The sequence below is a fragment of the Homo sapiens genome, chromosome 7 (genome assembly GCF_000001405.40).
Source record: "Homo sapiens chromosome 7, GRCh38.p14 Primary Assembly".
NCBI lineage: Eukaryota > Metazoa > Chordata > Mammalia > Primates > Hominidae > Homo > Homo sapiens.
The window spans coordinates 117,623,151-117,636,126 of record NC_000007.14 but is presented as its reverse complement, the minus strand read 5'-3'; the positions used below and the strand labels follow the sequence as shown (position 1 = coordinate 117,636,126).

The window sequence follows — 12,976 nt, the reverse complement described above, 5'->3', positions numbered from 1 at the left end:
GAATTATTCTTCAAAAGTCAAGAAGAAATAAAGTCTCTATCAGACAAACAAAAATTGGGGAAAATTGTTGTCAGTAGGTCTGGCTGGTAAGAAATGTTCAAAGAAGCTGAAGAGAGAAAAGGAAAATTATACAGGTCAGAAACTTGGATCTACATAAAGAAAGAAAGTGTATTAGAGAATGAATAAATGAAGGTATTTCATTTTATAATAAAATTAGAACTATTTTTCTTACTCTTAATTGATTTAACGATAACAGTTTTTTCAAAATAATTTCATCAATATATTCAATCATAAATATGATAATGTATATACTTAGGTATACCCATATATGTAAGTGAACTAAATTATAGCTATAATACAAGAGACTGGAAGGTGGAACTGGGAGTGTTTTATTATTAAAAGGTACTTGCACTACACATGAAATTATTTAGTATTATTTGAAAATGGACTTAGATTAGTTGTAAATGTATATTGCAAACTCTAGGGGCAACCACTAAAAAATGTTTTTTTAAAGAAGAATTACTATGCTAAGAAAAGAAAATGGAAACATATAAAATGCTCGATTAAAACCACAATGGAAAGAAAAAGAGTAGACAATAAAAATATAAACAAAGAACAAGTAGTGTAACAGACAGAAAACAGTAATAAATATAGTAGATGTTTATCTAACTATATCAATAATCACTTAAAATATCAATAGTCCAAATATACCAATTAAAAGACAAAGATTGTCAAAGTGGATCGAAAAACAACTCTGAACTATTTGCTGTCTACAAGAAACCCACTTTAAATTTAAAACCACATATAAACTAAAAGTAAGGGGGATAAAGAAAGTTAAGTCATTTTAACACCAACCAAAAGAGACCTGGAGAGGCTATATTTCTTTCAGAGAGAACAGACATCAGGGCGAGGAAATAATGAGGGGCATTATATGAGGATAAATGGGTCATGCTCCAAAAGACATACCAATTCTTCATGTGTATGTTTCTAGCAACAAAGCATCAAAAGACATGAAGCAGAAGTTGATAAAACTGTAACAAGAAATAGAATATTCACTACTAGAGTTGGAGACTTCAGTGTCCCTCTGCAAAGAATGGACAGATCTAGCAGGTGGAAAATCAGTAAGGACATAGTTGAATTCAACAGCACCATCAATCAACTGGACATAATTGATGTCTATAGACTACCTCATTCAAATATAGCAGAATACACAGTCTTCCAAAGCTTACATGGAACATTCACCAAGATAGACCACATTCTGGGCCATAAATCACACCTTAACAAATTTTATAAAAATTAAAATTATACAATATATGCTCTCAGACCACAATGGAATTAAACTAGAAATCAATAACAGAAAGATAGCTAGAAAATTTTTAAAAATGGTGATTAAACAACACACTTCTAAGTAACACATGGGTCAAAAGAGAAATATCAAGAGAAATTTAAAAATATTTCAAACTAAATGAACATGAAAATACAACTCATGAATATTTGTGAGATGCAGAAAAAGCAGTGCTTAGAGGGAAATTTACATCATTGAATGCATAAGAATGCAAAAGGATCTTAACAATATAAGCTTCCACCTTGGATAACTAGCAAAAGAAGATCAAATTAAATCAAATGTAAGCATAATTTAAAAATCATGAAATTGAAATCACGAAATCAACAGAGAAAATCAATAAAACAAAAAGTTGGTTCATCAAAAACATCAAAAATAGAGATATCTCTAGCCTGGCTAACAAAGCAAAATAAAAGATGTGACACAAATTGCTAATATCAATAAAACAAAAAAGGGGACATCACTACAGATCCCTTGCACATTAAAAGGATAATAAAAGAATACTATGAATAACTCTACGTTGACATATTTGATAACCTAAATGAAATAGACCAATTCCTTGAAAGACAATCTGCTAAAACTCGCATGAGAAAAAATAGGTAATCTGAATAGGCCTATATCTATTTTAAAATAATTAATGACCTTCCAAAACAGAAAGCACCAGGTCCAGATGGGTTCACTGGTGAATTCCACAAAATATTTAAAGTAGGAATTTTACTAATTCTCTGCAATCTCTTCTCAAATGTAAAAGTAGAGGAAATACTCCCTAACTCATGCTATGAGGCCAGCATTACCTTAAAACCATAAGCAGATAAAGATGTCACAAAAAACTACACACCAATATTTTTTCATGAACACCAATGCAAAAATTCTCAAAAAGTATTAGCAAATCGAACTCAACATGTATACAAATAATTATATACCACAACCAAACGGGATTAATCTCAGGTACAAAAGGTTGATTCAGCATTCAAAAATCAATTAATGTACTTCACATCAACAAGCCAAAGAAGAAAAATAAAGTGCTCAAATCAATAGTTGCAGAAAAGCATTTCACAAAATTTAACACCCATTCCTGATTCTTTTTAAAAATCAGCAAACTAAAAATAGAAGGAGACTTCTTCAACTTAAAAAAAAAAAACTTCTACAAAAACCCTCCAGCTAAAATCATACTTAATGATAAGAAACTTGAAGTTTTCCCACTAAGATCAAGAACAAGACCAAGATATCCCCTCTCACCACTACTTTCAACATCATACTGGAAGTCCTAGCTAATGAAATAAGAAAAGGAGATAAAGGTATACAGATTGGGAAGGAAGAAATAAAACTAAGTTCAGATGATGATAATCTATGTAGAAGATTCAAAATAATTGACCAAAAAATCCTTGAAACTATCAATAATTGATTATAGCAAAGTTGAAAGATATAAGGCTAACATGCAAAAAAAATCATTTTCCTATATAACAGCAATGAAAAATTGGAATTTGAAATTAAAATCACAATACCATTTACATTGGCATTCCTCAAAAACAAAATACTTGAACAAAATATAACAAAATATTTTAAAAGACTATATGAGGAAAACTAAATTCTGATAAAAGAAATCAAAGAATCAAACAAATGGAGAAATATTTCATAATGATGAATAGGAAGCTTCAACATTGTCAAGATGTCAGTCCTTCCCAACTCCATCTATAGATTCAAGCCAATCACAATCAAAATCCCAGCCAGTTATTTTGCATACATTGGCAAACTGATTCTTAAGTACATAAAGAGAGGCAAAAGACCCAGAATAGCCAACACTGTATCAAAAGAGAAGAAAAAAGTCAGATAACTGAAACTACTCAAGTTTCATGGGTTTAGCTTATAGTTGAATTAAAAGATTGAGGGAGCACAACACAAATACCTTCAGTTTCCCAACTCTGTGCTCAAAGGTTCTCTTTAATTCCACTTATCTCCTTTCCTCCTATCTTGGAAAAGATAGTTTTCTCCTCAGTGCAGAGGCAAATGCCTCCATATTGCATTTGCTATGACCATCCCCCACAGAGCAGTGCTCTTGCTTTCTACTTCCTGCCACCAACACTAGTGTTCTACATAGCTTCTTATTTCAGTAACCACCCATTCCCTAACCTTTTGCAACTGGTCTTTTACCATTGCTCCTTTATACCTAATGGCGTTCTTTTTCATTTTCCTTTCTTTTTTCTTTTTCTTTTTCTTTTTTTTTTTTGAGACAGTGTCTCACTCTGTCATCCAGGCTGTAGTGGTGCCATCACAGCTCGCTGCAGCCTTAATCTCCTGGGCTCAAGCGATCCTCCTGCCTCAGTCTCCTAAGTAGCTGGGCCTATAGGCACACAACACACGCCCACCTAATTTTTGTGATTTTTGTGGAGACAGCATTTTGCCATGTTGCCCAGGCTTGTCTAGAACTCCAGGGCTCAAGTGATCCTCCCACTATGTCCTCTCAAAGTGCTCGATTACAAGCATGAGCCACCACACCCGGCCCTAATGGCCTTCTTAAACAAGGGAGGGCTTTCATGCTTGGGCAAGAATGCATCAGCATGGTCGGGAAGTTGTGCTGAAACTCAGACCCCGTTCACACCCTCAGAATTTTTAATTCTTTGTTGGGGCCCAAGAATGAACATTTCTCATAAGTTCTTACGTGGTACAGGTGATGCTGGTTCAAGGACCACACTTTGAGAAGCCCTGCTCTTAAAGATGACCAAAGACCACTAAAAAAAGAAAACAAACTGTTTTCCCTATCCTACTGACAATACTTCTGACACCAACAATGTGGGTTTTCGACACCAAGCAATGCTGACAACTGTCTGTTATTAGCATAGACCCCACAGGATAAGGGCTCATTCCTGTAAGACTGCCTCCCAACACACTTCAAATGCCAATGGCAAGCCCAGATTGTCATCTGTGCTTCTGACTGTGCATCTGTAAATTGCACGTATCCATGAACTCTTTAGGTTTGATAATTTGCTAGAATGGCTCACAGAACTCAGGGTAACAGTTTACTTACTAGGTTACCAGTTTATTATAAACGGATACCTCTCAAGAACAGCCAGATGGGAGAGATGCATAGCAAAATGAATGTGGGAAGGGGAACAGAGATTCTGTGCTCTCTCTGGAATACCACCTTCTGAGCACCTCAATGTCTTCACCAGCCTGGAGGCTCTCCAAAAAGTTCCAGTTAAGGCTTATCGGGTGGCTTCATTACATAGGCATGGTTGATTAAATCACTGGCCATTGTTGATTTTACACAATTTTCAGCCACTCATCCCTCCCTGGAGGTCAAGGGGGGAAGATGAAAGTTTCAACCCATCCCCCTGACAACCAGCCTTTCCCCACTCCTGTCTTTAGGGACTTCCCAAAAGCCACTTCATAAATAGAAACTGGGGTATGGTTGATAGGGGCTTGATATGAATAACAAAGGATGTTATTCACCTGTATTTCTCTAGAGCTATTTCAGGAACTAGGGGGGGAAACATATAACAAAAGATGCTCCTGTAGCTCTTATCACTTAGGAAATTCCAAGGGTTTTAGCTCTGTACCAGGAACCAAATAGCACCTAATAGCAAAATCTACCTGGATTATCTGAGTTTTCGACTATATTGCTTTAGCTCTCAAAATCCAAAATTGGAGGTTGGGCACAGTGCCTCATGCCTGTAATCCTAGCACTTTGGGAGGATGAGGTGGGAGGATCACTTGAGGCCAGGAGTTTGAGACCAGCCTGGGCAACATAGTGAGACCCTGTCTCTGTATTTATATAGATAAAAAAGAAAAAAAATCCACAATCTCTTATCTATCTTGCTCCAATCTTGTCTCCCATTACTTCCTTTGGCATCCCCCAACCTGACTGAACCAGTCACTGTTTTCTGTGCATGCCCTTTGCCTCATGTTATGCCCTTTGCCTGGAGCACCCTTTCCCACCCACTGAGACAGCCAAATGCCTAGGCAGATAAGAAAATAAAAGGGTCCCAGAGAATCTCCGAACCACCCCTCAAGTGTTTACATCAGATGCTTTTGCACAGATGAGGGAACCTGCCCAAGGCTTGTCTGGGCATGCCCACCGTGGACTGGAGCCCCACATGCACACTAAGGGGAAGTGGGTGGAGCCATGGGGAATTTGCACCTTATGCAGGGGAGAAGCCCGATCTCTTCAGTTCCTTTGTGGTGGCCTGGGATTCAATCTGTGAGCAAGACTCCATCTCGATTTGCTGAGTTTTCTTTTTTTCCTTTTTGCCCAATAAAATCCTGCTCTACTCATGCTTCAATGTATCTGTGTGCCTAAATTTTCCGGATCATGTGACAAGAACCCGGGTTTTTAATAGAACTAAGGAGCAAAATTCTGCAACACCACCTTTACTTGTTCAAATACACAGCTCAGTTCTCAAAGCTTCATTCTAAATGCCACTTCCTATATAAAACCTTCTCTTAATAGCCTAACTCTCCGCCAACTGATACTAACTGCTTCCTCCTCTGAATTCCCATAGCATTTACCTGGATATCTCTTATTCAAGGGCATTTCAAGGATTTTGGGGGCCCAAAGCTTGTAAATTTGGAGGGAGGGCTCTTTTCAAGAATAAAGATTATAGAATTATAAAAACAAAATTAGATACATGGCCTTCAAAGTTGGCTCAGGCAAATGAAGGTCTGTGAAACTTAAGCTTTGTTATTGCCACAATAAATCTGCCTCAGGTTTCAGTGGATCTTACGTTTTCCCTTTTAGATTATCATGTCCTGGGACAGAAACTTTCTCTCTTCCCCTGCCCCATGTTTTCTGTTCTTCCACCTTTAAAGAGGAGCAATGGTATCTGGGTTTAAGATCCCTGCTTCCTTACTCACTTAATTGAACCTCAGTTTCCTCCATTGTGGAAAATAAAAGCAATCATTTCTGCCTTTAGAGTTATAATAAGATCAAATGTAATAGCAAATAAAAGTGTTTAAACAGTACTTAAGATATGATAAGCTCTCAATAAATATTAGAGTCCCTCTTTGGATGTGTCAAACAAAAATTATAGGAAGTCATTGTTTTAGATTAAGCTCTCTCACGAGGCCTCAACAGACCAGACTAAAAGTAAAAATGGAGTCACCCATGTTCACCAAAGCAAAACTCAGTTGTTATCCGGCCTTCTAAGAAATCAAGAAAGAAGACAGCCTGATTTCCCAAACAAGTCAGTTTCAAACTTCAATCTTAAAGTTTCCTCTGTTTTAATTCTTAATCCAATGTTAACCAATCAGTGACTTTTCTATTATTCTGTCTCCTTGTCCCCACCTTTCAAGAAAAGTAACTTTGAAATGACCAATTCTCTTATTGTTCTTTGTTTCTGCTTCCTTTGGCCCTTTTTTTGGGTCTATAAAGCCAAGCTCCTTTGCTCAACTTATTGGAACACTTACTCCAATTTGTGAAATGAAGGACTGTCCAAATCTAGAATAGAAAATAAAGCTGACTGAGGTCTTTAAACTAAATTTGTTGTCATTTTGTCTTTTGACAAATGGCACAATCCATAGCCTTATGTGAGTAATTTCCAATTCCCCCAAAGTACCTAGAGAGTGCCTTGCAGTGAATAGTTACTGAACACGCATGGCCTATTTTGTATATACAGGTTCAGAGAAAATGAAATATCTAAGCATATTACTTCTTTCTCATTTTGCTACATCTCTAATTACTAATCTCACATCAGGGAAACTTCCTATACTAATGAGGACTCCACAAATTCTATTACTTTACTAGGGCTTGCTTGAGTTTAATTTAGTGGACAAATGAGCATCAGCAAAGCAAAGGGGTGGCAGGATGTCAGGAGGAGAGAAAGTCAATTTATCAAGGCTTTCTACCAGGTTTATACCAACCTATTCTGGCTATTGTTTATAATAATGATATCACTTTTGGCATTCATCTTGGCGACCCCAGGAAAAAACACTTTCAGCTACCTATGGTATTCACTGATATGAATACCTATGGTGTTCTGTTTTAAGCCATTTCACATGATACACAGGGACTTTTCGCACATCCTATATATATGTTTTCACAGAATTTGTACAATGCATTAAATGTTTATCAAATATTCTAAAATCCATGGGCAAAATCAAACTCATATATTCTGAAACTCATGAGCAAAACTGTTTCTATGTCAGTGTTAGTAACGGTGACCTAACATCTTTACTAACTGTATCTCTCTCTATATTTTTGTATCTGTGTTTGCAATTAACCACAGAGAGATAAAGTTTTAAAATTCAGTTTGCAATTCAGTTTTCAGCTCCCTTTTATTTTATCTAAAAAATATCAATCAAAATATATAATACTCTTGTCTAGATTTATAGAGCAGTCCAGAATAGGGATTTGAAGGCAATTAAGAAATATGTTTATGGAGCCTGAAGTATATGGATAATGACCATCCCTGTCTCCAAGAATCAATTCCAGAAATCAGTATATATTAAGTTCCTTCTATGTGTTCAGCCCAGTGCTGGGATCCATAAGAAGGATTTCAAAATAATGTCAATTACTCATGCTTAATAAATATAGTAAATAACTGGGAAAAAATAATCTATGTCTGAATTAAAACTTCAAAGAAAAACAAAACAAACAAACTGAAAAAAGCTAGAAAAAAAGTATCACTTGTTTGGCAGAATGGAACTTAGATAAAATTTAAGACAATAGATGGAGTCAGCAATAAGATATTTTTGGAAGACATTTTCAAGATGGGAAATCTAAAACATGTTACAATTTTGATTTATTTAATGGCTTCTTTAGTTATTAACCTAGCAATTAATTAGATATTCTGCAAGTACAATCACATTTAAAATAAACCCATTATATAGGTTCAGGACTCTGCAAATTAAATTTCATATTAAAAATAATGACTCCATATAATAAAACATGTGTGTTTAATATTGATTCTACTGTACAATAATAATGTTACAAATAGATTCTGCTAACACATTGCTTCAGGCTACTGGGATTCACTTACTGAACACAGTCTAACAAAGCAAGCAGTGTTCAAATCTCACCCTCTGGCCAGGACTTATTGAGAAGGAAATGTTCTCTAATATGGCATTTCCACCTTCTGTGTATTTTGCTGTGAGATCTTTGACAGTCATTTGGCCCCCTGAGGGCCAGATGTCATCTTTCTTCACGTGTGAATTCTCAATAATCATAACTTTCGAGAGTTGGCCATTCTTGTATGGTTTGGTTGACTTGGTAGGTTTACCTTCTGTTGGCATGTCAATGAACTTAAAGACTCGGCTCACAGATCGCATCTGAAATAAAAATAACAACATTTTTGTTTTTAAGAATGGCAGACAATTTCACAATTAGTTTGATGCTTCCTAAAAAATAACTTGTAAAATGCAACACTTGCTATTTGTCACTTGGTTATTTGTCGGGCTTTTCAATGAACTAACAGGAAATAATTGGATATAATTAAAAGTTTAACTGAAGAGAAATAACCAGGACTTATATAAATGGGCTCTGTATAGGCCTGTTTATTTTTGTGATCACCTAATTCTCAGTTATGTAAGCCACACAAGGGAATAGATGACATCAAAGAGAAAATTTATTTCTACTATGAGCAGCACTGCACAATGCTGTATAACCGGTATATTATAATAAAATGTACCACACCTCAAAACCACTACTGAAGATTCTTCTCTTTCTCTCGAACTACCTTAGTAACTAACTATAATTTTATGTGTCAACCAGGTGGTTAAGTGAACTCTTCATGATTAGACAATTTTAAACAACTTTGCTATAATCTTTAAACAATTTAAGTCATTGGCATACATCTGCAGTTAAATAATTACACTTTTAATATAAATTACTTAAATATTCATTTTTAGTGCTAAGGAAAATATAATTGCATATAAGGGTTATATTTGAAATTAAATATTTATCTGCTTTATAAATCTATTCATGTAACATTTAGTAAAGTTTATCTTTAATGCATACAGAAATAAAAGGACTTGATAATTTTTAAAGGTGTTCAATTTTTTTTAAAAAAAACATACATCTCTGAATAATTATGACTTACGGGAATTTGGAATGTGATTTTAAAAACAACTTGGCATATAATAAGTACCCAATATATATTTGAACAATACATGAATAAAGGAATGAATATACTAATGAGTAAATAAATATAAATGAATAAAAAGAAAGAATTTGAAGACCGAATTCACTCAACTTCTATTTTTAAAAGATACCATCTTTGATCCTGTGGCTCAATCCTTCCCAGATATTAGTAGCTGATTAGACACAATTTTACTGCTCTTATTTTTAGTCTTACTAGTAATTATTGATGCTGGCTTTATTCAGTCAAAAACTTAACTAGCTTTCCTTTACAATATTAACACATCATCTTATTTACACCAAACGTTTAGACTTCAAAAATTATTCTTTTTGGAAAAAAATGTGGGCAAAAGTGTATTTGCTTCTGTTATTTCTATTTTTCCTTATCAAAAGGTGAAATGGGAACAATTCTTCATCTTTAATATGGAATGATTGGTGGATAAAGCAGAGGAGTTTAGAGATAGATCCTTAATTGAACGTTAAAATTCCATCTTAGCAATTCTAACTGTATTGCCTGTTTTCCCATGCCATTGATCAAGCCTGCACTGTTTGTGAAGTTCTTTTTTCACTCTAGTGATTCTGTGCTTCAGTTTCCTTCATCTTGAAAATATCTTCAAATTGTCTTCAGCAATTATTCAAGATTCAAGAAAATAATCCTTTGAAGTCAAGCCCACTGTTAACGGATGTGAAAAGGACCCAAAGCCCACAACCTAAATAATGATAGAGAAAGTAAAAGGCATATAGTCATGATTGTTCCACATGTAATATTTTAAATTCTGAATTATGAGTTACTTTCAGGGGTAGCTAACTCTTGACTCAGTCATTCTTGATTAACTTTGAATTAAAATACACTCACACTGTCACTAATTTTCATAGAGAGCTGCTAGTCTATAATAAGGTCTGGGAGATAAAATTACAACTACTATTGAGATGAAACTGCCAGAGATGTAGTTAAAATTCATTTAAAATATCTTATTGTATTTATCCTGCATAAGAATAGTATCCCTCTCTTGAAATAATTGAAGGGTATACACAAATGTAGATTAACTGTATAAAGTTGAGACTTGATATTTTTGCATGTTAATTCTATACACAATTCTAAACTTATATTTTATTAAGCAAGATAGGAAAGACACTATATAACAAAAATCCTTCACATTTTAATACTTCCAAACAATCTATAAAACATTTAACTGTTGCTATCTAAATGACTCAAAATTACACATAGTAGTATTAGAAAATAAGGACTTTCAAAACCACTATTTTGGTAGCACTGGAATGTAACATACAATGTTTTCTGTTTAGGACTTGTGTTTGAGCATTGCAAATTACATTCTCCATTAGTGAAGCTCACCATAGAGGGTGAATCCAGAACTTCTAATGTCAAATGTGACAAATGGAATGTACCAATCAAATTTAGAAAATGTAACTTTCCAACTCATTGTCTGTCTAGCTGCTTAATGTGACTCTAAGACAGCCTATTATAACTCCCCACAGCATGCCCAAATATGCATAGCCAAGAACGTGTGATTTAATCTTAAGACTGGGCACTCATTCACAGCATATGAGCAGACAGTCATTCAATTCAGTGGGTGAGAACATTTTCTGACAGGAAGAAAAAGTGGCTTGTGCAGACACTTTCACCATGGTCAGTTGTGCAGCCACTGAAATGCCATTACTGAATAGATGTGGACAGCTAACATTATGAATTACTAACCAATTCCTTGTAGTCGTGGGCTTTCCACCTTGGATATTCTACCTCCAGTACCTCTGGAAGGAGAGGCCACATCAGAACCAGAGCAGAACAAATCAATTCTGATCATTTAAGTTTCAAAAACTGACTTTTGAAACTCAAGTCAGATATGGATCATTTGAAAATTTTGAGCCATGTGAATATTGGCCATTAAGCGCCAAAAGCCAAAGCCTAAGGACTCAAAACATAGTGTCTATGCAAAAACAGTAGCCATAGACAAAAATTATGATGGATTAGAAGCAGTCACTCTCCTCACCCCATAAATGGGGTCCATAAATGGGGGTAACAAGAGGGTTTAGATACCAGGTCCTCTAAGAAAAGTTCTGCCTTGCAACCAAATCCTGGTTCTATCCTCAAGTAGATTTGGGGAATTTTAGAACAAAGGAGGCCCGTGCCTCAATTCCAAGGCAAAGCCCAGGAAATACTCATGCCATAGTGAAGCTTCCTGTGCCTTGCATGACATGGGAGCAGTAGAGTGAACATGGTTGCTTGGAATGTCTATGCACAGATGGCTTGATATAGCTTCAGATTTGAATCTTTTTACCCCTCAGGGGCATGGAAGAAACTGAAGAAGGGTCAGCAAGCGAGAGCTCACAGTGAGAACAAGGACAGACTCCATCTACCTGGACCATGCCCCTCTAGGTCACATAGGAACATCAGTGCCTCAGAGACAGTGAGCACGGACAAAAGATGATGTAGGGCAACACACTCCTTAATTCCTAATATCATGGCATTCTGTAAACTCCACTTAGAACCCAGCAAAATCTCTGAATTCAATGATATTATTTCTTTCACTCAGTGGAATGCGTGCTCAAATAGAAAATAAACTCAATCACAGAAAAAGTAAAGTCATATTTCTTGTACACTTAATTTCATAGTCAAAGATTCATAGCTGCTACCAGGGGTAGATCCAGGTTTTGTGGAGCCTGAAGCTTAAGTAATTTGGGGAACTCTTAAAAAAAAAAGAATCCAAATCCAAACTATGCATATAAAATTAAGTATAGGGCCTTCAAAGGAGTTCCTGCACGTGAGAGGACCTGTGGCTTATGTCTCATAGGCTTCATGTTAAACAAATTCTGCCTATGATAGTAACCTCGTTCAAAGCGTTCCTTGTTATAGTCAAACAATGGACAGTTCAAAACATCCCTCCCCATCTAGTGGTTAGCACCATGCAGTCACTTAATAAATCTTTGTTAATAATAAATGAATTCATTATTCTACCTCCTATGCAGAAAGCAGTGTCTGTGCAGTAAGAATGACAGTGCTGTAGGTCTACATTAGCAAGTAGTCCAGGCTGCAATTTTACCCCTCAGCGCCTCAGCCTCAAAATATTCATTGCTGTTTGGATGAGATGGAAGTTACAACCTATTGAACTATTTTTAGTCTCATCTATTTGTTTTCATTGAGCTTTTAACCTCACTTAACCTTTTCTCTCATTTAGAGTGCCTATTAAACATTTTCACCTGATACATAAAAACTACTGTGCCATTGTAGCTACCTAGATTGTGCTGGATAGAAATTCATATTCAGCAATTATCAGAATGACTGGATTGGCAAACTCCTTAACCCCAGCCTGCTGCTTCCTGTGCACAGAAAACAGTTGTCCAAGGAGGATCGAGGGATATCTCTGTCTAGAGCAGCAAGCTGGCCTGCCAGCAGCAAAGTCTCATGATAGCCAACACCCACTTCCGTAGGAGCACTTTTCTTAGACTTTGAGAAATAGAAGATGAAGCCAAAATGAGACCCAACCAATGACACAATGAACCCCATTCTTCATTTGTGGGGAAGAATACTTGACATAAGTTGTGCA

General features: G+C 35.7%; 1 protein-coding gene and 1 long non-coding RNA gene across 2 annotated transcripts in view, besides 4 other annotated features; one reads left to right on the top strand and one right to left on the bottom strand.

Annotated features, from left to right (window-relative positions):
* The window catches only part of CFTR (CF transmembrane conductance regulator), a 188,641-nt gene that overhangs the window by 32,539 nt on the left and 143,126 nt on the right, over nucleotides 1-12,976 (bottom strand). The window contains exon 22 of the mRNA NM_000492.4: nucleotides 8,357-8,605. Coding sequence (NP_000483.3) covers nucleotides 8,357-8,605 — 249 coding nt within the window. The remainder of the gene's footprint in view (nucleotides 1-8,356; nucleotides 8,606-12,976) is intronic.
* CFTR-AS2 (CFTR antisense RNA 2) overlaps nucleotides 1-12,976 on the top strand; it is a 42,625-nt gene that overhangs the window by 11,289 nt on the left and 18,360 nt on the right. The gene's annotated exons all lie outside the window — the stretch shown is intronic.
* Nucleotides 4,701-5,900: an enhancer, noted in NCBI's record as "MED14-independent group 3 enhancer chr7:117270281-117271480 (GRCh37/hg19 assembly coordinates)". NCBI's record gives its function as "activates an origin of replication core promoter dependent on BRD2, BRD4, P300/CBP and CDK7 cofactors, and independent of MED14, by STARR-seq in HCT116 cells {active_cell/tissue: HCT116}" and the evidence as "EXISTENCE:reporter gene assay evidence [ECO:0000049][PMID:35650434]".
* Nucleotides 5,120-5,809: an enhancer, noted in NCBI's record as "H3K27ac hESC enhancer chr7:117270372-117271061 (GRCh37/hg19 assembly coordinates)". NCBI's record gives its function as "activates a minimal SCP1, AML or CMV promoter by ChIP-STARR-seq in primed H9 embryonic stem cells {active_cell/tissue: H9 hESC(primed)}" and the evidence as "EXISTENCE:reporter gene assay evidence [ECO:0000049][PMID:30033119]".
* Nucleotides 5,333-5,532: an enhancer, noted in NCBI's record as "active region_26547". NCBI's record gives its function as "activates an Ori minimal core promoter by ATAC-STARR-seq in GM12878 lymphoblastoid cells {active_cell/tissue: GM12878}" and the evidence as "EXISTENCE:reporter gene assay evidence [ECO:0000049][PMID:35858748]".
* Nucleotides 11,282-12,482: a DNaseI hypersensitive site, noted in NCBI's record as "DHS18b or 3600 + 10 kb DHS observed in primary human tracheal epithelial cells; the nucleotide coordinates are approximate for this feature". NCBI's record gives the evidence for it as "EXISTENCE:in vivo cleavage assay evidence [ECO:0001075][PMID:19897727, PMID:21895967]".